A 27,282-nucleotide genomic window follows, 5' to 3' on the forward strand; every position below is an offset into this window, starting at 1 on the left:
GGTTCTACAGCCTCTTCATCTTTAAACCTGCTCACCTGCCCCAAACGCTTCTGTCCCGCCCACACGGACGTGTGGATTATCTTGAGGAACAGCTGCCCTGTGCGTGGGTTGAAGATGAAGATGGCTCCGTTGATGGGCTTGGTTGTCAAGTTCCCTTCAAAGGTCTAGAGGAGGACGGCATTCGTTAGCATGGCCTACACAACACATCCCCATCCTGCCTTCTTCCCAGCATGTGTACACACTTAGCCCATTACTCTCCCACAGCCATGTACAGAGTCCCGCACCTATACACTGCTGCTAACACTCACCTTGTGAATAGTCACTCTGTAGACGTTGGTGTCATCCACAAACCAGATAATCTGGTTGGAGAAGAGCTCACCATAGTTCTGAGAAGACAAATAAGGCTCAGTGGGTTCAGATGAATAGAGCTGTAGCCCCTTGCGGATCCGTTCACGTAACACATACAGGGCAGGGTTTGCCTTCATGATCTTGGCCATGGCCTGTTGTATGAGAGGCTTGCTGCCTGGGAACCAGTTTCCATAGGCACTGTGAGGATAAAAGGGTCAAGAAAAGTTAAGACGAGAATGACAGCCCCAGAAACAAGACAAGCTGCCAACTCTACAGAGGAAGAAAGACTGTTCGCCAGGCTGACAACACTCTGCTCATGTGTACATACAGGCTGGAGAAGAGAATCAGTGACCCATAGGAGGAATGGGCCACTTCCTCTCACTTAGGTAAAGTAAAAAAGTATGACTACGTTAAAGTATGGAGCTAATGGAAAATACACGGATTATTTATTTATTTATTATTATTATTATTTTTCTTTGAGATGGAGTCTCACTCTGTCGCCCAGGCTGGAGTGCAGTGGCGCAATCTCGGTTCACTGCAAGCTCCGCCTCCCGGGTTCAAGTAATTCTCCCACCTCAACCTTCTGAGTAGCTGGGACTACAGGCGTGGACCACCACGCCCAGCTAATTTTTTGTATTTTGGTAGAGACAGGGTTTCACCATGTTGCCCAGACTGGTCTCAAACTCCTGAGCTCAGACAATCTGCCCACCGCGGCCTCCCAAAGTGCTGGGATTACAGGTGTGAGCCACTGCGCCTGGCCTGAAAATACATGGTCCTGAGCCTCAACTCACCTGTGCAAGTTATAGGCCAGGTCAATGGCGATGAGTACACCTGTGGGCGAAGGGTAGATACTCATGTTGTCGGTGGTGTAGTCCAGGAACTTGGCCCGGGCGTAGCGCTCAATGTCGTGGGAATCATAGTCCCCCCAGCGCAACTGGATGTCAATCCAGTATTTCTGGGTGGTGGTGCTGTCCATCACATCCCTGAGGATGAAGAGGGTTCAAGCTTCTAAGAAACCATGGGCATAACCAATGTCCCCAGAACCAGAACCACTTAAATCCCAAAACCATCCCACCCACTCCACCAACTTGTTCCAGGTCAGCAGGACCCCAGAGAATCAGCAGATCTGACTAAGGGTGTTGACAGGCTCCAAGCGTAGCACTGGCTCCAAGTTTGAAACAAAGGCAGACAGGACAATTCCTAAAGTTGCAGGGCTAGAAGAACAGGAAAACGAAAGTGTCCTGGCTGCCTAGGGCTGGGTCCTGAGGCACTTACTTGGAGTCAGCCAGCAATGAGGGCCGGGAGACATTCCACTTATAGGAGGCAAAGAGCAGGATATCTGCACAGGAAGAGTTCATCTTATATGACTTTCGGGGATGGATTGTCTCCTTTTGTACTGTCTCAATTTCCAGTGCATCAAGTTCCTGGTCAAACACCTGAAGGAAAACATGGAGAGATTAAGACTTGTTAAGGAAGCCCAATTAAAATCAGAGTTTGTACAATAAGATAATGAGGCAATAGGAGTCTCATCCTCAGAGCTTCCAGGGTGGATTTCCCATATGCAAAAGAGCAAGCTGAGCTGACTCTGTACAGCACGCTCTCCCCGCGATTCCACCTGAGCTGACTCTGTACAGCACCCTCTCCCCGCGATTCCACCTAAGCTGACTCTGTACAGCACCCTCTCCCTGCGATTCCACCTGAGCTGACTCTCTACAGTACCCTCTCCCCACGATTCCACCTGAGCTGACTCTGTACAGTACCCTCTCCCCTCGATTCCACCTGAGCTGACTCTGTACAGTACCCTCTCCCCTCAATTCCACCTGAGCTGACTCTCTACAGTACCCTCTCCCCTCGATTCCAGCCCACCTGACATAAGTCCATAACAATGCTCTCATGGATCTTCTGCCACAAGTGAGCTCGGAAGATCTGGATGAGAGAGATCTTCAGCGTGGGGATCTTGCCGTGCATGAAGATACCCGTCAGGTCTAGCTGCACCTGAAAGCCTACATATACCTGCCAGGAAAACGACAATGTGACATTAGAGATCAAGAGACTCGGGCGCTCACGACATAACCAAGGCAAGAAGCAGCAACTGTCTTTAGCTTCCCCTCTCCAGTGTCAATCACACTCACATTGGCTCGATTAATGGTCGGGGACCACCAGAGGGTGAATCTACGATTGGGAATCTGGTTCAGTCCTGATCGCTGAGCATTAGTTAGCTTCTTCCACTTCATAGATTCCTCAAAGCCACTGGCCTTCTCCCTGGGGAGCAAGAGAAGCAGGTGAGGTGATATCCTGCCATTTCCCAGCACACTGCTAACCTCCTGGAGGTGGCTGTCTGGGAAACACCACAGGAAATCACAGAGGCATACAAGAGATGAGCTCAAAGGGTTGTGACAGGTCCCTCTAAGAGAGGAGAATCCTCACCAGAAAAGCCCCTCCCAGGTAGGGAAGTAAGTGCCCTTAAAGAGTGTGTGTTCCAGAATGCCTTCCACACCGCCCAGGGCCTGGATCATGTCTGTACGGTAGTTGTTCAGGTTCCAGAGCTTCCCATCATGCCGCTGGTGTGTCCACCAGAACGGATTCTGCTTCAAAACCTAGATGGCAAGGCAGGCACGGTCAAGCTTCTGGGTGCCTATTGCCCCAAGTTTCGGGGATAGCCATGGATTTTCCTGACTCAGGGAAAATCTGCTCCCTCTACATACCTGATACTGCTTAAAGTCAGTTCTGACACGCCAGCCCTTATCATAAGCCAGTGTGTGCCGGTCCTTCTGGAAGAGGGTATTGATTCGAGGAATGCCACGATCCCATGAATCTTCTAGGTCTTCTAAAGTCAGGCGTCTTCCAAAAAAAGAAAGATTCAAGTCAAAACGTGATCTCATATGAGGAGCTCAGCACTCCTTCCTGGCCAAAAATAATTAGGGTCAGTAGAACCAGCCTTCTCACCTCCATACAACCATGGCATGCTCTGACCCTGAACTCCACACGGTTCAAAGGCCACCACTGCCCCTGCCCCAGGGTTGGCATGCCCTCCTAGGTGCCCACCTGTTCTGAGCAATGGCCTCTTGCCTCTTGAGTGCGTACTCAGCCCAGACCCGCTGAGAATCAATGAACTCGCTCTCCCATGGCTGTATGTAGCGGTACAAGTTGGGAATGAGCTGGTCTTCTTCATGGCTCATTCCTGAACGAAAGTGTGTGATACCTACATCTGTCTGTTTGGACCACCTGTTTGGGTGTACAACCAAGATTACAGAAAAAATAAAGCCTAAAACTAAAGAAATACCCACTTCCCTTAGGGCCTGAGCAATAGGGTTTAGAAATACGTTGAACCAGGCTGTACCTGAGGTCGGATTGGGGGATGAGCACATGGCCCATTGAGAGCATGCCGAGTCCACCCAACTCCTTAGGGGTGTAGAACACAACCGGGGGGAACCGACTTGGCATCTTGGAGTTGAGTCCAATCTTGATACGTGTCTGGATTTTGTTCTCACACTTCACCAGTAAGTCCAAGAGCTCTTGGGTGTTCACCACAGCCTCCCGAAAGTATGTCATAAGGCCAATGAGAGCTGTATTCCACTTATTCACAATCTAAAGGTAGTAGAAAAAAAAGTAAATTACAGATGAGCCAGGGGCGGGGAGGGTGGAGACTACTTGATGCAGTTAGTTTTATCCCTACTACTAAAGAAAGATTTGAGTTCAACATCATTAGTCACTAGGGAAATAGAAAGCAAAACACAATGAGGCTGGGCGCGATGGCTCATGCCTATAATCCCAGCACTTTGGGAGGCCAAGGTGGGAGGACTGCTTGAGCCCGGGAGTTGGAGACCAGCCTGGCCAACATGGCAAAACCCTGTTTCTACTAAAAATACAAGAATTAGCCGGGTGTGGTGGCAGACGCCTGTAATCCCAGCTACTCAGAAGGCTGAGGCAAGAGAATCGCTTGAACCTGGGAGGTGGAGGTTGCAGTGAGCTGAGATTGTGCCACTGCATTCCAGCCTGGGCAACACAGCGAGACTCCATCTCAGGGGAAAAAAAAAAAAAAATGGTTCCCCTGGGCCAGGTGTGGTGGCTCACGCCTGTCATGCCAGCACTTTGGGAGGCCGAGGTGGGTGGATCACCTGAGGTCAGGAGTTCAAGACCAGCCTGGCCAACATGAAACCGTCTCTACTAAAAATACAGAAATTGAACCCAGGAGGCAGAGGTTGCAGTGAGCTGAGATCGCACCACTGCACTCCAGCCTGGGAGACAGAGCAAGACTGTGTCTCAAAAAAAAAAAAAAGAAAAGAAAAAGAAAAAAAAAAGCACACCAGATGGAGCTATACAAACTAGTGAAGAACACCAGAAATGGTAAGTATGTGGGTAAAATGCAAAAAAATATTTTTTCTCATTTTGCAATTTCTACAAAAGATAAAGGCTGTTCAAAGCAAAAAGAGTAACAAAGTATTATAGCACTTATAATACATGTACAATTAAAATGTTATGACAAAAATACTACTAAGAGTGGGAGTGGAACTTAAAGTGTATTATTCTAAGGTTCTTGTACTATATGTGAAGTGATCCGTAGTAGACTAATGGTCAAAGTAGATCACAGTAAGTGAGCTATGTATATACTGTAAACCTTAGAGCAAACAATAAGAAAAAAACCATGTAGCCAAATAAGTGAAAAGTGGAGATAAAGTCACAAAACAACTAAATTCAGAAGAAGGCAGGACAAGAGAAAAGCAGAAAAAATAATTTAAAAAAAAAAGAGTAAGACGGTAGATTTAAACTGAGCTACATTGCCACATTGATAGTTACATTAACCTTAATTGAGGTATTTAGACCATTTGTAAGGCAAACATTGTCAAATTGGATTTAAATAAAAAGGCCGGGCATGGTGGCTCACACCTGTAATCCCAGCACTCTGGGAGGCTGAGGCGGGCCTCGGGGTCAGGAGTTCGAAACCAGCCTGGACAGCATGGTGAGACCCCCCGTCTCTACTAAAAATACAAAAATTAGCTGAGCGTGGTGGCACGCGCCTGTAGTCTCAGTTTCTTGGGAGGCTGAGGTAGAAGAATCGCTTGAACTCGGGAGGCAGAGGTTGCACTGAGCCAAGATCATGCCACTGCACTCCAGCCTGGGCAACCAAGGAAGAGACTCCATCTCAAAAAAAAAAAAAAAAAAAAAAAAAAAAAGAGCCAACTATATGCTGTCTATAGGAAATAAACTTTAGTTACAAAGACACAGATTAACAGTAAAAAGATGGAAAAATACACCCATGCAAACACAAAACAAAGCTGGAGTGGCACTACTGATTAAGACAAAGACTTCAGACCATGGAATGTTATCAGGAATACAGAGGGATATTTGATACGATAAAGTAGTCAACTCGTTCAGAAGACCTAATAATCCTAAATACATTATGTAACTAATAACAGAATTTCAAAAATGATGGACCTGAAAGACAATAAACTCACAGCTGTAGTTGGATCTTTCTCTCAAGCAAGACAGGGTCTTGCTCTGTTGCCCAGGCTAGAGTGCAATGGCACCATCTCCACTCATTGCAGCCTCCACCTCCCAGGCTCAGGAGACTCTCCCGCCTCAGCCTCCCAAGCACCTGGGACTACAGGCGTGTACCACCACACCCAGCTAATTTTTGTATTTTTTTTGTAGAAATGGGGTTTCGCTATGTTGCCCAGGCTGGTCTCGAACTCCTGTGCTCAAGCAATCCACCAGCCTCAGCCTCCCAAACTGCTGGGATTACTAGAGATTTCTAATACTCCTCAGTAATCGATAGAAGTATACAAAAAATATCACTAAGGATATAGAAGACTTAAGCAATGTAACCAACTGACTGGACCTAATGTTTGTAAAACACTCAACCTAACAATAGCAGAATACAGATTAACAGATATTTTCCAGCACACATAGGACAGGCACCAAGAGAGACTGTACGCTAGGACATCAAAAAGTCAGCCTCAGCCAGGTGCAGTAGCTCATGCCCGTAATCCCAACTCTTTGGAAGGCTGAGGCAGGAGGATCGCTTGCGCCCAGGAGTTTGGGTCCAACCTAGGCAAGAGTGAGATCCCACCTCTAAATGAATTAATTATTAAAAAAAAAATCTTGATACATTTTTTAAAACTAAGATCATATACAACATGTTTCCTAATCATAATGGAATCAAAGCAGAAACTAATAAGGGAAACCCCCAAATATGTAAACAGCATAATTTGAAACAACCTAAGGTGAAATATGAACTCATAAGGGAAATTAGAATATACTTTTAACTAAATAAAAATGAAAACACAACATATTAAAATGTGAGGAATGGGGCCGGGCACGATGGCTCATATCTGTAAGCCCAGCACTTTGGGAAGCCAAGGCGGGTGAATCACGAGGTCACGAGTTCAAGACCAGCCTGGCCAACATGGTAAAAACCTGTCTCTACTAAAAATACAAAAAAAAATTAGCTGGGTGTGGTGGCGGGCACCTGTAATCCCAGCTACTTGGGAGGCTGAGGCAGGAGAATCGCTTGAACAGGGTAGGCGGAGGTTGCAGTGAGCCGAGATCGTGCCACTGCACTCTAGCCCGGGCGAAAATGTGAGACTCTGCCTCAAAAAAAAAAAAAAAAAAAAAGGGAGGAATGCAGCTAAAGCAATGCTGAGAGGAAAATTTACAGAAGTGAATAATACTATTAGAAAAAGAGAAAGGTTGGCCAGGCACGGTGGCTCACCCCTGTAATCCCAGCACTTTGGGAGGCTGAGGTGGGTGGATCACGAGGTCAGGAGATCAAGACCATCCCAGCTAACACGGTGAAACCCGTCTCTACTACAAATACAAAAAATTAGCTGAGCATGGTGGCAGGCGACTATAGTCCCAGCTACTCAGGAGGCTGAGGCAGGAGAATGACACAAACCCAGGAGGCGGAAGTTGCAGTGAGCCAAGATTGCGCCACTGCACTCCAGCCTGGGCGACAGAGCAAGACTCCGTCTCAAACAAAAAAAAACGAGAAAGGTCAGCTGGGCACGGTGGCTCACGCCTGTAATCCCAGCACTTTGGGAGGACGAGGCAGGTGGATCACGAGGTCAAGAGTTCAAGACCAGCCTGGCCAAGATGGTGAAACCCTGTCTCTACTAAAAACACACAAAAAAATTAGCCGGGTGCGGTGGCAGGCATCTGTAATCCTAGCTACTCGGGAGACTGAGGCAGGAGAATCGCTTGAACTCAGAGGGCGGAGGTTGCAGTGAGCTGAGATCGCGCCACTGCACTCCAGCCTGGGTGAGAGAGTGAGACTCCATCTCAAAAAAAAAAAAAAAGAAAAAGAGAAAGGTCCAGGCCAGGTGCGGTGGCTCACACCTATAATCCCAACACTTTGGGAGGCCGAGGCAAGCTGATCAGGTGGTGGTCAGGAGATCGAGACCATCCTCGCAAACACGGTGAAACCGCGTCGTAGTAAAAATACAAAAAAAAATATTAGCCGGGTGTGGTGGTGGGCACCTGTAGTCCCAGCTACTTGGGAGCTGAAGCAGGAGAATGGCGTGAACCCGGGAGACGGAGCTTGCAGTGAGCAGAGATCGCGCCACTGCACTCCAACCTGAGTGACAGGGCGAGACTCTGTCTCAAAAAAAAAAAAAGAGAAAGGTCCAAAATTGATAATCTAACCTTTTACCTTAACAAACTAGCAAAGGGATGGCAATGATAAGAGAAGAAATCAATGCAACAAGGCCAGGCGTGGTGGCTCACACCTACAATCCCAGCACTTTGGGAGCCCAGGGGGGTGGATTACCTGAGCTCAGGAATTCAAGACCAGCCTGGGCAACATGGCGAAACTGTCTGTATCCAAAATACAAAGAAAAATCAGCCAGGCATGGTGGCATGTGCCTGTGGTCCCAGCTACTTGGGAGGCTAAGGTGGGAGGGTCTCCTGAGCCTGGGAGGCAGAGGTTACAGTGAGCTGAGACTGCGACACTGCACACCAACCTGGGTCATAGAGACCCCATCTCAAAAAAAAAAAAAATCAATGCAACAAAAAAGAGAAAAACGATAAAAATTAATGAAACCAAAGCTGTTTCTTTGAAAAGCTGAATAAAACAAGATAGCAAACCACAAAATACCAAATGATATAGTCAAGACTTTAAGGCAAAAAATGTCTTCTGAACAATTATTGAGGTGAAAGAGTGCGTTGGCTGGAGTTACTATAGTAATCTGCCTTGAGCAAATGGTATTCAGACAAGCAAGGAGAAAAGACTGCAGGTGAGATAACAGCTCAAACCCTACTATGAAAGCTAGACTGAGCATCTCGCATGTCCACAGGATGAGACAACCAGGCAGATCTACAGAAAGGAGGGGGGCCGGGTGCGGTGGCTCATGCCTGTAATCCCAGCACTTTGGGAGGCCGAGGCGGTTGGATCATGAGGTCAGGAGTTTGAGACCAGCCTGACCAACATGGTGAAACCCTGTCTCTACTAAAAATACAAAAATTAGCCGGGCATGGTGGCAGGCACCTGTAATCCCAGCTACTCAGGAGGCTGAGGCAGGAGAATTACTTAAACCCGGGAGGCGGGGGTCGCAGTGAGCTGAAATTGTGCCACTGCACTCCAGCCTGGGCAATAGAGCAAGACTCCCTCTCAAAAAAAAAAAGGAGGGCCAGGGGCCAGGATAGGCTAGATACTGGGGTAAAGGCAAGTGGATGATTCCCATTAGGTTTAGTAAATTCTTGGACTGCACTTGGAATTGCTGATGTGTGTAATGGAACACAGTATTTCTGTTGTAGTTAACAGTGCTCTATCCCTGAAGGGGAGGAGGCATAAATTCCTGAGGAGCCCAGTGTTCCTTTACTAAATAGCAGAAATTCCTGGGGGATAAGGGGAGGCAAGAAGGAAAATAATATTTACTCAGGTCTACGTGTACTAGGTACCATGGTAAGAAATTTATATATGTTATACCTCTTATGTCTTCATAAAAAACAAGTTATAGAACTTGCCCATGACATAGCTTTTTTTTTTTTTTTTTTTTTTTGAGATGGAGTCTCACTTTGTCACCCAGGCTGGAGTGCAGTGGCGCAATCTCAGCTCACCGCAACCTCCACCTCCGGGGCTCAAGTGGTTCTCCTGCTTCAGTCTCCAGAGTAGCTGGGACTACAGACATGTGCCACCACGCCTGGCTAATTTTTGTATTTTTAGTAGAGATGGGGTTTCACCATATTGGCCAGGCTGGTCCTGAACTCCTGACCTCGTGATCCACCTACCTCGGCCTCCCAAAGTGCTGGGATTACAGGCGTGAGCCACCGCACCCGGCCTATTTATTTATTTTTAAATATAAACAGGATCTTGCTATGTTGCCTAAGCTGGTCTCAAATTCCTGGGCTCAAGCAGTCCTCCCACCTCGGCTTCCAAAAGTGCTGGGATTGCAGGCATAAGCCACCATGCCCAGCTTTATCATGCAATTTACCAAGTAATATGGCTTACTAAATACCCCGTTTCATTTAATTCTCACAAAAGCCGTCTGACCTAGGTCCTATCAGTATCCCTATTTTACAGATGAGGGAATTGAGGCCCAGCATGGGCAATATTCCCAAGATCCCAACTAGTAATATGACAAAGATATGATGTGAACCCCATCTGACTCCAGAGCCTGTGCTTCTAACCACTAGAGTCAACTGCATCCTTACCCTCTCAGACACTCCTCCACTCCTCAGCCTCTAACTTCTGATATCCAGTTCCCTGATGCCTACAATTCTTTCCCAGGCCAATGGCCTCTTCTGCTCTCTCTCCTCTCCCCTCTTCCAGTATCTCAATGGGGTCTAGCATTCTTTTTTTTTTTTTTTTTTTTTTTTTGAGACAGAGTCTTGCTCTGTCACCCAGGCTGGAGTGCAGTGTCGCGATCTCGGTTCACTGCAAGCTCTGCCTCCCAGGTTCCTGCCATTCTCCTGCATCAGCCCCCCTGAGTAGCTGGGACCACAGGCGCCCGCCACGACATCCAGCTAATTTTTTGTATTTTTAGTAGAGACGGGGTTTCACCGCGTTAGCCAGGATGGTCTCAATCTCCTGAACTCGTGATCCACCCGCCTCGGCCTCCCAAAGTGCTGGGATTACAGGTATGAGCCACCGCGGCCGGCTGGGTCCCGCACTCTTGATTCCCTTGCATTCAATGCCTTACCACTCTACAACTGTCTTCTAACAGAGCTCTATTCCTTAATCACCAGTGTAATCTATCCACCTTCTGCATCCCTGTCACTGAGTAGCTGGGTGATTCTGGGAAAAACAAATGCTCAGAGTTGTCTTCCCAAAACCCAGCTGAGCTCCCAACACACCTTCCAATCCCTCTCAGTTTCTTCAGCAATCATCATACCCTAATACCATGAAATTCACTATGCACAACTCTTTCCCCTAACTGCAGCCCAAGAAAAGCTGAAAAACTCAAAATCCTGTTATAGCTTCCCACTAACCTCATCTATATCCACATCTTTCCAGACCTCTTTCCTGTCAGGTTCAGAGGATTTTTCCTCTGCTTGCTCTTTATTCTATCCCTAGGGAGACCCTCTGCACCTCTGCTCATCAATTACCTACTTTTCTTTTCTTCGAGACGGAGTCTTGCTCTGTCGCCGAGGCTGGGGTGCAGTGGCACGATCTTGGCTCACTGCAACCTCTACCTCCCGGGTTCAAGCAATTCTCCTGCCTCAGCCTCCCGAGTAGCTGAGATTACAGGCACCCGCCACCGCGCCTGGCTAATTTTTGTATTTTTAGTAGAGACGGGGTTTCACCATGTTGGCCAGGCTGGTCTCGAACTCCTGACTTGGTGATTCACCCACCTTGGCCTCCCAAAGTGCTGGGATTACGGGCGTGAGCCACTGTGTCCAGCCAATTCCACACTTTTCTCTTGTACACTCAACTGCTACTGGGCTCCTTAATTAAAACACGCTCAAGTCACTGTCATTCAAAAACACCTGCACTGACTTACAGCTCCCTCTAGGTGGCATCTGATGTCCTTCCTTCTCTTCAACTGACAAACAGATTGTCCTTGCTGTCTCCACTCACTCACTTCCCATGAAGCCTCACCCACTGCCATCTGGCTTCCATCCCTACTATTTCTGTAACAGCTCCTGCTAAGGTCACCAATGACGTCCTAACTGTCAAATCCAATGGATACTTTTCAGTCCTCATCTAACTGAAATGCTCTTAGGCAACTGACACTGCTCAGCATCACCCCAATTCTGGACACGTGTTCCTGAAGGCCTTGGTTCCAAGACCCGGCACCCTCCCACAGGTTCTGACCACACTTCATCTTAGTATTCCCCACATTTCCAAATTCCTCCCTCTCCTCTTCTCACTCCACATTGTCCCTGGGTGATGTCACTCATTCTTGAGCTTTTGACCTTTTGTGGATAGGCTCCGAAATCTACATCTTTAATCCAGACCTGTTCTCCATGTTTCTTCAGATTGCTTCTCACCTAGGAACCTCTAAGCTATCCCTGACTGCTCTTACCTTTCTAGTTTCATTTCTCTCCCTGGAATGTCTCACTCATACTTTTTAAATCAAATCTAACAGATCATCAATTAAAGAGGCACCACTAAGGGAGCAGAAGGAATCAGGAATCTACACATGTGTATATATGTACTTAAATATGTATCTTGGAACTGAAGAAATAAGGTATAAATAAATACCTGGGGAAATCTCCATCTGAATGTTCTCAGGAACTTCAAACTTTATATATCCTAAACTAGATTTCTTTATCTTCGATCCTAAACCTGTTCTTGTTCATGTGGTCTTCCAGTTGGTGGCACTAACACCCACCTAGTCACCCATGCCAAAATCTGCACATCATTTTTGACTTTTCTTTGAGCATCCCAGGACCACAAAGTTCTGCTGATTTTATCTGCTAACTTCTTATCAAATCTGTTCCCCTCTTCCTACCTCTACTTTCAGTGCTCTCATCATTTTTATTGATTTATGTATTTTTTTGGAGACAGAGTCTCACCCTGTTGCCAGGCTGGAGTGCACTGGTGGGATCTCGGCTCACTGCAACCTCCGCCTCCCGGGTTCCAGCGATTCTCCTGCCTCAGCCTCCTGTGTAGCTGGGATTACAGGTGTGCACCACCACGCCCGGCTAATTTTCATATTTTAAGTAGAGATGGGGTTTCCCCATGTTGGTCAGGCTGGTCTCAAACTCCTGACCTCAGGTGATCCACCTGCCTGGGCCTCCCAAAGTGCTGGGATTACAGGCGTGAGCCCCCGCGCCTGGCCTGCTCTCATCATTTTTATCTGGACTTCTTCAGTGGTCCCCAAACCTGGTCTCCCATCCTATCCTTTCAGGTCCATCTTTCTCACAGCTGCAAGAGTGAATCATCTAACACAGAAATTTGACAAAGTCTGCATCTGTAGTGTGGGAAGCCAAAAAAAAAAAAGAAGAAAAACACATCTGACAAAGTCACTCTGTGCTTAAGACCCTTATATGATTCTTCCTAAGGTGTGCGATGCCCTCCATGATATGGCTCTCCACTATTTATCCAGCCTCATCTCTTAACATTCCCAATTCCACAATTTACTCCAGCAAACCTTGAACTTTCCATGGTCCCATGTACACAAGCTAGTTACATCGCCACACTTCTGGCTAAAGGAATGCTCTCCCTCACCTGTCTCATCACATGCTACTTCTTTCAGGAATCCTTTCCTCTTCCACTTCCAGACTGGGCTAGAGCAATCACTAACTCTAGTGCTCTCACAGATTCCCACATACAGGTTAATCTAAAACCCAAAATGCTCACAAAAAGCTGAAACTTTCTGAGTCCCAACATTCTGAGCACCAACATGACGCTCAAAGGAAATGCTCATTGGGGCATTTCAAATTTTGGATTAGGGATGCTGAACCTGTAAGTATAATGAAAATATTTCAAGGCTGGGCACGGTGACTCACACCTATAATCCAGCATTAGAGAGGCTAAGGCAGGAGGACTGCTTGAATCCAGAGTCTGAGACCAGCCTGGACAAGAGAGTGAGATCCCAGCTCTACAAAAAATTTAAAAATCAGGCCGGGTGTGGTGGCTCACGCCTGTAATCCCAGTACTTTGGGAGGCTGAGGCAGGCGGATCACAAGGTCAGGAGTTCGAGACCATCCTGGCTAACACGGTGAAACCCCTTCTCTACCAAAAATACAAAAACTTAGCCGGGCGTGGTGGCAGGCGCCTGTAGTCCCAGCTACTCAGGAGGCTGAGGCAGGAGAATGGCGTGAACCTGGGAGGCGGAGCTTGCGGTGAGCCAAGACTGCGCCACTGCACTGCAGCCTGGGTGACAGAGCAAGACTCCATCTCAAAAAAAAAAAAAAAAAAAAAAAAATTAAAAATTAGCCAGGCATGGTGGCGTATGCACCTGTGGTCCCAGATACTTGGGAGGCTGAGGTGTGAGGATCACTTGAGCTGCAGTGAGCTATGATAGCGCCACTGCCCTTCAGCCTAAGTGACAGTGAGACCCTGTCTCTAATAAAAATAATGAAAATATTAAAAAAGAAAATCTGAAATCCAAAACATTTCTGGTCCCAAGCATTTTGGATAAAGGAAACTCAACCGTAATGCAATAGTTCTAAAACATAACAGAACGTATCCTTAACAGACTTAACTAAAAAACAGAAAACATTCTGCGCATGCAAATGCCGCACATTTAGAGATATGAAGGTCGGAATGCAAGAAAAATGTTATAGCTAAGAGTTACTCTAATGGAAACCAGAGTAAGGTAACTTTTTTTTGTTTGTTTGTATTTTGAGATAGAGTTTTTGCTCTGTCGCCCAGGCTAGAGTGCAATGGTACGATCTCGACTCACAGCAACGTCCGCCTCCTGGGTTCAAGCAATTCTCCTGCCTGAGCCTCCCAAGTAGCTGCGATTACAGGCGCCGGCCACCAGGCCCGGTTAATTTTTGTATTTTTAGCAGAGACGAGGTTTCAGAACCACACTGGACAGGCTGGTCTCAAACTCCTGACCTCAGGTGATCCACCAGCCTCGGCCTCCCAAAGTGCTGGGATTACAGGCGTGAGCCACCGTGCCCGGCCGAGGTAACTTTTTAAATTTTGCAAAACCTTAAATATACGTAGTTCAAAATTCCTCAGATTTTTCTTTCTCAATTCCGGTTGCCTTCGGCTGGGCCTCTGAAGGTAAGTGAAGGAGAAACGAACCCCGAGATGCCTATGAGGGCTGCTTTTTCACAGGTTCTCTATGCCACTGGTTAACATGACTTAGATAAGCACCTGAGAAAATGCAAAAATAATGCTTTTCTGTTCAAAATAATAAATCCAACTTTTACTCTTGCCTTAATTTAGAATCATCACAAGTCCACAAGAAGGAGGCTACACAATTTCTACAAGGAACGCTCAGAAAATAACGATGAAGTGACCTGACATACTATAAGCCACTATGGCACAGAGCATGGAAACTGGCACACTAAGCAAAGAAGAGAAGGAAGCAGCCAGCAGGGGACGAAGTGAAAGGGGTGTGAAATGAGCAGAGGACAGCAGAGGACAAGAGGGAAGCTGGGCATGACGGCCCTGTACCTTGGTGAAGGTGGTGGACCCAGAGGCCATGAGAATCTGACGCACGCGGTTGTGGAAGCGCTGCATTGACTCATCGTCCACACGCAGGAAACACTGAGCTGTGCGCTCCTTAGTAACCTAAACCACAAAGTCAAGGTTAACATGTCCGAGGAACTCCCACAGAAGCAAGAGCCAACTGTGCCCACCACTCAAGTCTTTCCACCCAACAAGACTCCGGTGACTGACCCAGGAAGTGCAGGCGCGTTCATGTCACTCCCAGCCCCGCCCAGGCTGTACCTCATTCTGCAGGTTCCAGACCCCGTCCTTGTGGGTGAACTCCTCATAGCTGGTGCGGCACTTAGGCAGGATGCGGCACTCGAAGCCACACATGTTGAACAGCAGGTTGGGGTTGTCCTTACTGTACACAGACACGAAGCTGTTCTCCCACTGAACTGTAGTCACTGACCGTGGCAAGCGGTTCTTGATGTCCCAGAATACCGCCCGGCCTCTGCCCACAGAGAACACATGGTCACAGCAGTTTCTTGGAAGGAACTTCCCTTCAAAGGCCAACTGATGACATCCTGACACAGCCACGCCTCTCCCACCCAGGACGCAGCCTCAGGTATGCCCTCTCTGGGCCCTTAGCTTATGTCCTTCCAGCTCACACAGCCCCAACCTAGACTCACAAGTTAACATCATGTTTCATGAGGCGCATGCGGGCATCTCGGGGCCAGCACTTCTTGTTATTATAGCCAACGATGTTTTCATTATTGGGGTCAGGGTGCTCTGTCAGGTAACGTTGAATCAGGTCCCGAGCCTCATCTGCTGTGAACCTACACCAGACCAGGTACACTGCTGAGGCCCCAGTACACTGAGATTTGGGACACCCACAAGTCCTCCAGCTCAATAGACGGAGACCCCACCCCATCCTACCCCCACCCTCCCCGGGCTTCATTCCATTTTATTTTTATTTATTTATTTTTTGAGACAGTCTCGCTCTTTCCCCAGGCTGGAGCGCAGCGGCGCAATCCCGGCTCACTGCAAGCTCCGCCTCCCAGGTTCACGCCCTTCTCCAGCCTCAGCCTCCGGAGTAGCTGGGACTACAGGCACCCGCCACCACGCCCAGCTAATTTTTTGTATTTTTAGTAGAGACGGGGTTTCACTGTGTTAGCCAGGATGGTCTCGATCTCCTGACCTCGTGATCCGCCTGCCTCGGCCTCCCAAAGTGCTGGGATTACAGGCGTGAGCTACCGCACCCGGCCGCTTCATTCCATTTTAAAGCCCCAACAGCAGTTAAGTCAACTCAGGTACAATAGCTGATTTCAGAGGCAAAGCACATGCCTCAGTACCCTGCAAGGCTAGGAATCCAGGAAAGCCCTCACCTGAAAAAAATATGGATGCGATCAATGTATCTGCAGAAGAGACGGATGGGGTGGGCAGCCTCAGTGGCTATGTCCTGGAAACTGAGAAAGTCATTTGGCATCTGAGGGGGCCCAGCCATCTCACTGGCCCGGTGCAATCCCAATACAAGCAAATCCATCACCAGGCCATAATACTGCACGATGAATGAGGCAAACTGCAGGCCTCTGATGATCCCATATGAATTCGTATGGTTCATGTCCTAGAAAGAAAGAACTACAATTCTTAAGAATGTGAGCCATGCCCCAGGATTCTCCAGAGTTAACCTCTTTTGTTCTCCCCTCAGCAAATTCTACTTTTTTCCACTCCCGAGGCGGAGTTGTGCTCAGTCACCCAGGCTGAGAGTGCACTGGCGCAATCTCAGCTCACTGCAACCTCCACTTCCCGGGTTCAAGTGATTCTCCTGCCTCAGCCTCCCAAGTAGCTGGGATTACAGGCGCCCACCACCACACCCAACTAATTTTTGTATTTTTTTAAGTAGAGACGGGGTTTCACCATGTTGGCCAGACTGGTCTCGAACTCCTGACCTCGTGATCTGCCCGCCTCAGCCTCCCAAAGTGCTGGGATTACAGGCATGAGCCACCGCACCCAGCCTCCTCCTCAGCAAATTCTGAGTCAGTGGGCCAGACAAGCACTCCACACACAATTCCATGCTACTGCGCCTGAGACGCACCTTATAGTTGATGACGACGTTGTTCTTGGCTGTCATGTAGTCGGCTATGTTGTGGTCCACGATGAGGCGCAGCAGCCTGTTGAGCAGAGTCAAGTCGATCTTCTCATACATCTTCTCAAAGCGGGATTCCAGCATGACATTGCACTCGCCTTCACTCGTCTCCCACACGTCCTGCAGGTTATTGATGCCTGAGGAGTAGCAAGGCAGGTCTCCAGCAGGTTAGAAATCCTCTTGCAAGACTAGCCCCACAGGAACTATCATTACCTTCCATAACCAATCCCACTATGATTCCACGTATTCATTTGGATTGCTTTGACTATGGGCTTTTCCTCAGTTTAACACGAACACTACTTCCCTTTACTACCACGCATCAAGAGAGTAAACCAATCATGCTACCCAGATGAGATTTTTGACGTAGAACTAAATTCCTGCCCCGTTCCTCACAGGGCGATCTCATGAAAGTTCTACCTTGACACCACTTGTAAACAAGCAGCGGAGGTGGTTCTGTGTCTGCAGGCTTAATCCAGGGTGGGAACAGGCGGCGCTTGTCGGCTTCATACCACAGGTACTGGTCCAGGTAAGCATCAGTTATCTTCTCCAGGGGCTCAACATCATATACTGGAACGAGGTGGCTATACAGATCCATGAACTCAATGCCCACCTGTGGGACAAGGAGGCTGGTTCACACCAATCCACCAACTGCTACCTTTGGTAGAACCAAAGGCAACTGCTACCTTTGGTAGAACCAAAAAGAAAACTTGGGAGGCCTCACTCACCTCTTTGAAGGCTCTCTGTGTGAGGAGGTGACGCTTGATGCGGGACAGCGCCTCGTGGGGGTTATCGTAGGCCTGCTCGATCAGACCTAGCTCCTCCCTCTGAGACTGGTTCAACCGAGACTTCACACTGACAAAAGCAATGGGAAGGGTGAATGGGAAAACTAGGAGGAAGTAAAACCAGGAAAGACTGGGGCTACACCTTCTTTCTTTGGACTCTGAGGATGACGCCATTCCCTGCTGTCACCTTCCCAGCAGGAACCTATCTACCCTACTACTCACCTATAAGCTTCCTTGAGCCGCTCCAATGCCAAGATGAGCAACTTGGTGTCATGCTTATAGGAGAGTGGGGGGAATGGGATGGGTGAAAACCTGCGGCTTTCCAACCAATGCACTGTGGTGGTATATACTGCCACTGCTTCCTCCGCTGTGATGTAAGGCCCGTCCTGTAAGGTGGACATGAAATTAGCCTCCCGCTACAGCCCGATCCTGCCAGAACAAGGTTCAGTCACAACTCTACAGTCCTCCCTCTTGCCCACTCCCCCACCACTCACACCCAGCCCAGCCTACTCTGCCCAACCTTCAGGTAGTTGTGCTGCCGCTCCTGTTCTGCCTTCAGATAGAGCCGGGTGAGGCGGCCCAGATTCTTTTTACAAACAGTCTTGTCCACAGTGGCCCCTCGGCGGATCCGTTCTCGGTTGTAGTGGGCAGTGTTGGTCCACCAGTCAGCCTTGGCCTTCACGTATCGAAGGATCATATTCTCTATGGGCGTCGGCAGCCCAGGGACCTAAAAGTCCAAAAAGCACAATCAAGCCAGGATCCAGCCAGGCACTGTGGCACACATCTGTAGTCCCGGCTACTCAGGAGGCTAAGGAGGATCGCTTGAGCTCAGGAGCTTGAGGCCAGCCTAAGCAACATGGTGCTTCTTTTCCCTGTCTAAAAGGGAAAAGAAAAGAGATTGGAGCCAGATAGCCCCCTAATGATTCCCGAAGTGGTAATCCTACCCTAAAGACGGATGTTTACGCCTCCAAGGAAATAAAGAGACACCCACCTTCCAGGGAATGTTGGCTTTCCAGCAGCGCCAGGCTTCACTGAGGTGCTGCAGGATTGTCCGGGCCTTGTTCTGCTTGATCCCCTCAGGCATCATGTCCAGAATATCATGCATCACAGCTGCCCGCAGCTCAAGGTCAAAATGTGACTCCACTCGCTGCTTTGTTACTGTCTTTGCCACCCCCTTTGAGTGTCGACCTGGAAGTAGAGTGTCCCAAGGGGATTACAAGGAAGATTCCTTGCTTTCAATAAGGGTCTCTACCTTCATGCTCCTCACTCATTATGGTTATTAATAAAATTAGGTATTAACAAAGCGTCCCTGTGCCCAGCATATGCAAAAAGACGAGCTACCTTAAACATTCACAACTATGCTTCTGAGGAATTTCCACTCCTGCAAATGCATGACTGCCTCTCAAGGCCCCAGAAGGAAGCCCAAGAAATAGAATACTAGGTCAGACTCATTTCAGAACTGGACCTAAAGGCAATCCAGTAGGAAGAGTGCTCATACAAGAGCAGGGAACAGACTCAAACAGGGGCAGGTACTTTTGAAGCAATAACAGGAGAAGTTGGACACAGAGAAAACCACTCACCTTCAAACTGCCGGGCCAGGAGGTTGCCAAGCCATCGCTCTAATAAAGGGGTAATGCCACGCATGAAAAAGAGCCAGACTCGCCAACCGGCAGCCCAGAAGCCACAGCCAGGACCCTTCCCTACAGGGCCCTACGATCCCAAGCAGAAGTTAAGAATACAAGTTAGCAATGCATTTAAACAACAATAGAAACCTGGGCAGAGGTGGGGCATATATGTATAATATACATACAGAGGAATGTAGGTATGGCAGTAGAGGGGTAAAAAGAAAAAAAAACTCTGGGACCTCAACATCTAAAACAAAAGGGTAAATGAGAAACCTTAAGGCAAAAACCAGGAACTAAGATCGCCCATGTGAATTTAAAGGAGCAGTAAGGACACAGTCATAGCTGCTCTCCAAATAGGTCCCTGGAAAGAGCCCTGTCTAAATGTATACATGAAAAAAGATCTGAGAAAGTTAAGTCCAGTGAGGCTGGGCACGGTGACTCACGCTGGTAATCCCAGTACTTTGGGAGGCCGAGGAGTGTGGATCACCTGAGGTCAGGAGTTCAAGACCAGCCTGGCCAATACAGTGAAACCCCATCTCTACTAAAATTTCAAAAACTAGCCAGGCATGGTGGTGCGCGCCTGTAGTCCCAGCTACTTGGGAGGCTGAAGCAGGAGAATCACTTCAACCCGGGAGGCGGAGGCTGTGGTGAGCCAAGATCGTGCCATTGTACTCCAGCTGGGGCAACAGAGAAAGACTCAGTTTCAAAACAAAACAAAAAAAAAATTGCCAGGCGTGGTGGCGGGCACCTGTAATCCCAGCTACTCGGGAGGCTGAGGCAGGAGAATTGCTTGAACTCAGGAGGCGGAGGTTGCAGTGAGCCAAGATCGTGCCATTGCACACCAGCCCAAGAGACAAGAGTAAGACTCTGTCTCAAAAAAAAGAAAGTCAGTAAAGTCAAGGTCTCACCGTGTTGAAACGATAATAGATGAGATGCTTCAGGTCCTTGCACATGCGAATCTGTCGCATCAGCTTGTATTTGTATCGATACATGCCCGTCAACTGCCCAACATGGGCAAATATATACTGCAATCCATCTGCCAGCTGCAATACAATTGCCCCATCAGACCTGGAGCTTAAACCAGCTCCACGGTCAGCACAGGCTTCCTCCAGCGTCCTCACCCAGGCAGGGGTTGGGAATACCTAACCTTACCTGGAAGGCATCCACATTGCCCAGCCGATACTGCACGTGACTATCCACCACCAGCTTAGTCAAACGCAGAACTTCCCGACACAGGTGGAAAGCATTCCCAAAACGAGATTTCTTTCTTTCCTGGAGAAGATGCAAAAAACAGACAGAACGTGAATGAGCAATGGACCCAACTGATGTATGCCTTCATCAGTAACCAGAGGAAAACAACTGTCCGTCCTTGAAGCCCAGGAGGCCCCTAGGGTCCAATGCAGGCACCTTGGTGGTGAGCGTTTTCACAGGCTTGAGGTTGAAGTTGTAGTCCAGGTGCAGGTAGTTGAGGTTTTTGCGGTGAATGAGAAGGTTGAGCATGTTGTAGCCCTGGCGGCAAACCTGGAGCCCAACCTCCACCCAGTCCAGCTTTGTGGACTGAAAGAATTTGGTGGCTTTGAAGGAGCGGAACAAATACCTGAGGTGGGAACATGGAGAGTAAGAGTCAGCCTACTGATATCTCTGGAACAGAAGTCTGCGCAGGGCCCCTGGGGCACCTTACCTCTTCTTTTGAGCCTTAGGGGGCCGATGCTTCAGGGCATTCAGCACATAGTACTTAAGCAGCTTCTGGTAGGAGACCCTCACTTTCACAGGCTGCCCGGCAGGACAATGCTCCCGATACCTGGAAAAATAAGCCCACCAGAGTTTGGCCATCTCTTCTTCCAGACACTCTGCTAAAGGCTGCAAGCCTTGGGTTGTCTACCATTTTTATGGGAAAAAAAAAAAAAGAATTTAAAAAAAAGGCTACATGCCCACCTAGTTGGAGTCTTTTCTCCTACACATCCACTATCATTCCCCCTGCCACAGGGAAAAACCTTACCAGTTCTTGACAAGGGGTATGTCCAGGGCCCGACGGGTGCGACCAGAGCGTAGGTTGAAGGGCCGCGGGGCCCAGAGCAGGGCAATGCCATTGGCTGTATTGTCTGTATAGAGGGGTGTGTCCTTCAGGAAGGGCTCCACAAACTCCGGGAGCTCAAATTCCTCATCATCATCCGGCAATGGTTCCTGGCTCTGAAAAAGGAATCCCTCTAAGGGTTTAGCTCCTGCTGAACTAGGCACAGACTTAAGATGAGGGAAATTCTCTGGGGCCAAGCACAAAGCCTGTATCTGCTATGGAAACTGGGCTGTCTGACAAAAGCAGCCCTGAAGTGCCAGCACAAAGGAAACCAAGACAGCAAAGAACAAGACAGGGCCACCAGGAAAGCAAGCGTCACTTCTCACACCTCAACTGGCTGACCACCAGAAAGCCTCCCAATGGAGCCCCAACATCACAGGAGGTCAACATTGCAATCATCTCCCACCCAAGCTCCAAACACTGGGCTTGGACACAACGGAACACAGATGAGCATCAAAAACATTATGGTAAGCTTAAGAAGCCAGTCACTGAAGACTACATAGTGTACGATTCTATTTCATTCTATCATATGAAATGTGTAGAATAGCCAAATCTATAGACAGAAAGTAGATTAGTGGTTGCGTAAGGAAGTTGGGGAGAAATGGCGAGTAACTGCTAAGGGTTTCTTTCTCAAGTAATAAAAATATTCTCAAATTGCATGTCGTGACAGTTGGGACAACTCTGAGAATAAGCTAAAAACCATCAAATTACACACTTTAAATGGATAACTTGTATGGTATGTTAACTACATCTCAATATAAAGGCTAAAACAAACAAACACAATAGAGACAGACCGGGACAGATTATCTAGAGCACCCAAGAAAAGAACCGTAAAGTCCAAAAGGATAATCACAGAAAACAGGATTATACCAATGACATGTTTTAAAGCAAATGCTGAATTCTCATATTCGCTTATAGCTCAAGGGGAACACTTAGCAAGACGGAAAACACATCTCCCTCCACCTGAGCGTTTAGTAACATCAGCCAACCTCACGCATTTCTCCTAGAAGAGCTGAGGGAAAGCATCCCTTCCCTTCCTCACCTTGACTGAGTGCCTATGGGAGATTGGGTTGATCAAAGGGTCAAAGTAGAAAGCTGGCAAGTCAGGATCCTCAGTTTTGATGAATACAACATTGGGAGTATGGTACCTAAAATGAAAGGAAGAGTCAGCCAAAGTTTTCCCGCCCTGGCCCAACCTAAACAGCAGCCTTCTCCTTTCCAAATGTTGTGTTCCAGGTCTCTTACCAGGTGAGGTGGACATGGTGTGGAAGATTGTTGTACAAGTAAGGAAAAGCAATCTTGTACTCAGTGCGGATAGGCTGCCGGATGATAATCTTGTTAATATCATTGAATTCATTCCAGTCTTCATCCCTAGGGTACAACATCAAGAATAAGCAGACTTTTTTTTTTTTGAGACAGGGTCTCACTCTTATCACCCAAGCTGGAATGCAATGGCATGATCATCGTTCACTGCAGCCGTGACCTCCTGGGCTCAAACAATCCTCCCACAGCTCAGCTTCCCAAGTAACTGAGACTACACGAAGCTGTGAGTGTCACCACGCCCAGCTACATTTTTTGGTAAAGATAGGGTTTTGCCATTTTGCCCAGATTGGTCTCAAACTTCTGGGCTCAAGCAATCCTCCTGCCTCAGCTTCCCAAAGTGCTGAGATTACAGCGTGAGCCACTGCACCTGGTGTAAACAGACTAATTTGGAAGTTATATCAGGACTTTAAGGATCAAGATTACGTTTCATTCAACTCAAAATGTCTAAAATCCCTAATCTCTCCAACTCACTGTAGGTTGATGTCTCGAACAAGAGGTTCAAATTTGGGGCCTCCAGGAATGGCCATATTGAGTGCCTTGGACGTAAAGAAGGCCTTCAAATCAAACAGGTAGAAGTAGTTGTCATCCACCAAGTCTGTCAGGAGCTGATTAGCCAGGCGGTAGAGAGTCGACATCATAGGTAGTGTGAACTGCCAGCGCTGGTAAGTGGAGCCATTTACATACCTAGGTAAAAAATGAAAGGCCCACCTCAAGTAAGCAGCTAGACAAACCCATACCACCTACTGATCTCCCAGGACTCCTTCTGCATTTCCAGAACTCCTCCCAGGTGTAGTATCTCCATCTATCACTCACTTCCTGCTGTCCCTCAACGGCTGGTGGTCATAGAACCAGTCCAACACAGGGGCGTCCTCCTCAGGGTCCAGCTCTAGCTGAATGGCCTCCAGTGGCTCAACATCTAGGATGTTGTCAGCATAGTCCAAGGGCGGCTCCTCATCATCAAAAGGGGGAAAACGCATCCTCTTGAAATGCCTCCTATCTCTTTTTTCTCGGCGCATCATAATCCACATTGACCTGGAAGGCAAGACATCACACAACCATTTCTACCCACTGCCTCCCAACCACCACCACCACCACCACCCACCATATTTCAGCCTTTCTCACCCCCACTGGGAGATGTAGACAGGTTCAATGACCCAGGGAATCTCATTGACGAAGGAAATGGCTCCAGTGATGTGGTACAGCACAGGCACATCCCGAATCTGCTCCCAAGGCATAGGCATGTTCTCCAGGAGTTTGAGGACTGCGTGGGGCATGTACTTTAGGGCACTGGCACATTAGAAAAAGAGAAGGCTATCAGAAATGACGAGGTGTTCTGCTACCTGTCCCATGCAGAGAAGCCACATGTTCATGTTCCACAGTCCTACCTTACAATCCAAACTCCCAAACTTAGCCCACAGGCCCTTCCTAACCAGAAACCCTGCCTCTCCCTCTCCAACTTCACCTTGCACCACTCTTCTTAAACGTCATAATCCCACAATGCTGGTATCAGCTCCTCTAAATCAACGGCTATCCCTCTGGAGACAGCTTTGCGGCTCTCTCACATCCTATTCCCTCCGCATCTTCCCATAAATCATAATAAAGTATTCACCATACTTCACTATCACCAGTTGTCTCATGTCTGTCAGGCCACTAGACCGCACACTGCAGAAAGGCGGAGATTGTTACCCTCTGCTCGCTACTATATCCCCAGCAGCCAGCACAGTTCTCTAAGTATTTTTTGAAATAAACAAAACTTCCAGTTCATTACATGGCAAACATTTTTGTGTCCAAATAGAACAGGAATCTGCTAAGACATCTGTACCTGTACTAGCCCAGTTTAGAGCCACAGAAAAAACAGGAGTAGGGAAACCTCTGAAATTAAATACCCCAAACACAGAATTCAGGTCCCTGAGGAGCGACAGGCTGCCACTATGCACAGTATCCCACTCTGGACTTCAACCAGCTCAACCATAGGGACATCTTATTTTTCATTTTTTTTTTTTTTTTGAGACGGAGTCTCGTACTTTCGCCCAGGCCAGAGTGCAGTGGTGTGATCTCGGCTCACTACAAGTTCCGCCTCCCAGGTTCACGCCATTCTCCTGCCTCAGCCTCCCAAGTAGCTGGGACTACAGACACCTGCCACCACGCCCAGCTAATTTTGTGTATTTTTAGTAGAGACGGGGTTTCACCGTGTTAGCCAGGATGGTCTCGATCTCCTGACCTCATGATCCACCCGCCTCGGCCTCCCAAAGTGCTGGGATTACAGGCATGAGCCACCGCGCCTGGCCAGGGACATCTTATAATATCATCAACAGGACAAATTAAAGCACCAGTCCCAGATCGGGAAGAGAGGGGAAACAGACTGCAAAAGTGGAAGATGTAGAAATTATCAGAGACTCCTACTGGTTTTCTCCTTTCTCTTATATCCACCAAGATGAGCTGTCAAAGCATCAATCCAAGACTGTGGGACAGGGAGAAGGGAAAAGGGCCAAATTCCAAATGAAATTATTTCAGGATGTTCCTTACCCCAAGTAAACCCTTTTGTCATGGCGGAACTTCCTGTTGGTCATGTCTCCATGGTCTCGAATGATCTTCCTGACATGTTCTGGGGGCATGTCTTCCTTCTGGGCATCCACAAACCCAAACTTCCGCTTTTCTGCATAGCGCTTGGCCTGCAATTGCTGCCATTTTCGAGCTGGAAAGGCACCTCAGTTTAAAGGCCTGCACACCCTCCCCCTAATCCTCTTCACCTCTTGCCCTAGGGTAAGCTCCTGTCAGTGAGTGTGAGGGAGAAGCAGGCACCAGCAGGAAGAAGCACCCCTTGCCAATTCCCTTACCATTTTACTCTGTTTTTCCTTTCATCACATTGATCACTATCTGACTTTTTTTTTTTTTTTTGAGAGGTTGTTTCACTCTGTCTCCCAGGCTGGAGTGCAATGGTGCGATGTCGGCTCACTGCAACCTCCGCCTCCTGGGTTCAAGCCATTCTCCTGCCTCAGCCTCCCCAGTAGCTGGGATTATAGACACGCGCCACCACACACGACTCATTTTTGTATTTTTCGTAGAGACGAGGTTTCACTGTGTTGGCCAGGCTGGTCTCGAACTCCTGACCTCAGGTGATCCGCCCGCCTGGGCCTCCCAAAGTGCTGGGATTACAACCGTGAGCCACCGCGCCCGGCCTGACATTTTTATTACAGAGCTTCAAGGTTTTGTTATTCTCTGTCTCTCCCGCTGTAATTTAAACCCCGTAAGGACAGGAATTTTGTCTCCGTCACTACTGTACCCCCGCTGGATCAGCGCTTGCAAATAATACGCGCTTAAAATGACTTGATGAAAAATTAACTGGAAATAACAAGGGAGCTGACACCTCAGGAGCTGCCCAAACGGGGAGGGTCCCCACCCGCCTGCGCGCGCGCACACCCGCCCCGCCTCCGGCCCGCGCGCCGCTCCACACTCTCGCCTCACCTTTCTCCTGCAGCTTCTCCTCCGACATGTAGTCCGGTAGCGGGGCTAGAGGGCCAGGCACCGGGTTACCCGGCCCTCGATAAGGAAACACTCCGGCCATATCCGGAGAATCTGGGGAGCGGCGGGATAGAAAAATTCACTAACCACAGGCCCGGGCCCACAAGAAGCGCAGCAGAAAGGCGTCCGGGGACCCCGGCCTGCAGTCCCGCCACACAGTGCATCCAGCCCCGCCCGGCCTAACCCCTTCGGTCACTCGGCCCGACCCGACCACGCCTCCCGCAGCCCGGCCTTAAACGCCTGCCACGCACCCCACAGGCCCTCACACAAGAGGCCGCTTTCCCCGCAGCGCAATGGCGGCCAGACTGCGTCCGCTCCGCGTTCCCAGCGCCGGGAAGTGCGCAACCCGAGTTCAGCAGTTGATCCAGTCGGCGCCGAGGTGCTCAGATGGATTAGTGAGACGACCAATTAGAGTTGCACACTGCGCCGAGGAGGCGGGCCCATAGGCGGAAAGGCTTTGAACGCAAGGGGGTGTGGTCGGGGTGAAGCCCCGCCTCCTCCATTTCCGAGGCTGTTTCTGGGGCCTCTGACAGACCTCAGCGTGTGATGGGCTCCCGGCGTCGCACTGTGAGAGAGCGAAGTCTAAAGGGTTTGAATAAATTTGCCAAGATTGCGCATTGTACGATGTCTGTTGTCATCAATGTGTACATGCAATGCAGTACTAGCTCCTGGACAGTCATTTGTTCATGCATTCATTCATTTAACCATCACTGTCTACCGAGGACGAGGGATAAAGCAGGAAAAAAGACAACCAGTAGAGTTCACAGGGGAGCAGAAAGGCAGGCAAGAATTAAGACCTTGGCCGGGCGCGGTGGCTCACGCCTGGAATCGCAGCACTTTGGGAGGCCGAGGCAGGCGGATCACTTAAAGCCAGAAGTTCGAGGCCAGCCTGGCCAACATGGTGAAACCCCGTCTCTACTAAAAATACAAACATTAGCCGGGCGTGGTGGCGGGCGCCTGTAGTCCCAGCT

General features: G+C 48.7%; 1 protein-coding gene across 2 annotated transcripts in view; it reads right to left on the reverse strand.

Moving 5' to 3' along the window:
- PRPF8 (pre-mRNA processing factor 8) overlaps positions 1-26,650 on the reverse strand; it is a 34,239-nt gene extending 7,589 nt beyond the window's left edge. Inside the window, exons 1-34 of one of the 2 annotated variants that reach the window (XM_024450537.2) lie at positions 26,578-26,650; positions 26,255-26,365; positions 25,316-25,484; positions 23,912-24,076; positions 23,603-23,821; positions 23,261-23,473; positions 22,712-22,837; positions 22,509-22,614; positions 21,392-21,582; positions 21,074-21,193; positions 20,800-20,989; positions 20,545-20,664; positions 20,301-20,435; positions 19,348-19,477; positions 18,759-18,955; positions 18,288-18,494; positions 17,990-18,153; positions 17,711-17,837; positions 17,403-17,595; positions 16,935-17,122; positions 16,225-16,463; positions 15,529-15,675; positions 15,140-15,350; positions 14,864-14,980; positions 3,689-3,936; positions 3,394-3,573; positions 3,054-3,189; positions 2,776-2,945; positions 2,481-2,610; positions 2,215-2,361; positions 1,624-1,784; positions 1,140-1,331; positions 309-546; positions 36-164 (exon numbers count right to left, since the gene is read on the reverse strand). In XM_024450537.2, coding sequence (XP_024306305.1) covers positions 36-164; positions 309-546; positions 1,140-1,331; positions 1,624-1,784; positions 2,215-2,361; positions 2,481-2,610; positions 2,776-2,945; positions 3,054-3,189; positions 3,394-3,573; positions 3,689-3,936; positions 14,864-14,980; positions 15,140-15,350; positions 15,529-15,675; positions 16,225-16,463; positions 16,935-17,122; positions 17,403-17,595; positions 17,711-17,837; positions 17,990-18,153; positions 18,288-18,494; positions 18,759-18,955; positions 19,348-19,477; positions 20,301-20,435; positions 20,545-20,664; positions 20,800-20,989; positions 21,074-21,193; positions 21,392-21,582; positions 22,509-22,614; positions 22,712-22,837; positions 23,261-23,473; positions 23,603-23,821; positions 23,912-24,076; positions 25,316-25,484; positions 26,255-26,354 — 5,505 coding nt within the window. In that variant the 5' untranslated portion in view covers positions 26,355-26,365; positions 26,578-26,650. Of the gene's footprint in view, positions 1-35; positions 165-308; positions 547-1,139; positions 1,332-1,623; positions 1,785-2,214; positions 2,362-2,480; positions 2,611-2,775; positions 2,946-3,053; positions 3,190-3,393; positions 3,574-3,688; positions 3,937-14,863; positions 14,981-15,139; positions 15,351-15,528; positions 15,676-16,224; positions 16,464-16,934; positions 17,123-17,402; positions 17,596-17,710; positions 17,838-17,989; positions 18,154-18,287; positions 18,495-18,758; positions 18,956-19,347; positions 19,478-20,300; positions 20,436-20,544; positions 20,665-20,799; positions 20,990-21,073; positions 21,194-21,391; positions 21,583-22,508; positions 22,615-22,711; positions 22,838-23,260; positions 23,474-23,602; positions 23,822-23,911; positions 24,077-25,315; positions 25,485-26,254; positions 26,366-26,562 lie in introns of both variants that reach the window. The other variant, NM_006445.4, reaches the window with a different exon arrangement.

This window comes from Homo sapiens, chromosome 17, assembly GCF_000001405.40.
Source record: "Homo sapiens chromosome 17, GRCh38.p14 Primary Assembly".
Classification (NCBI taxonomy): domain Eukaryota; kingdom Metazoa; phylum Chordata; class Mammalia; order Primates; family Hominidae; genus Homo; species Homo sapiens.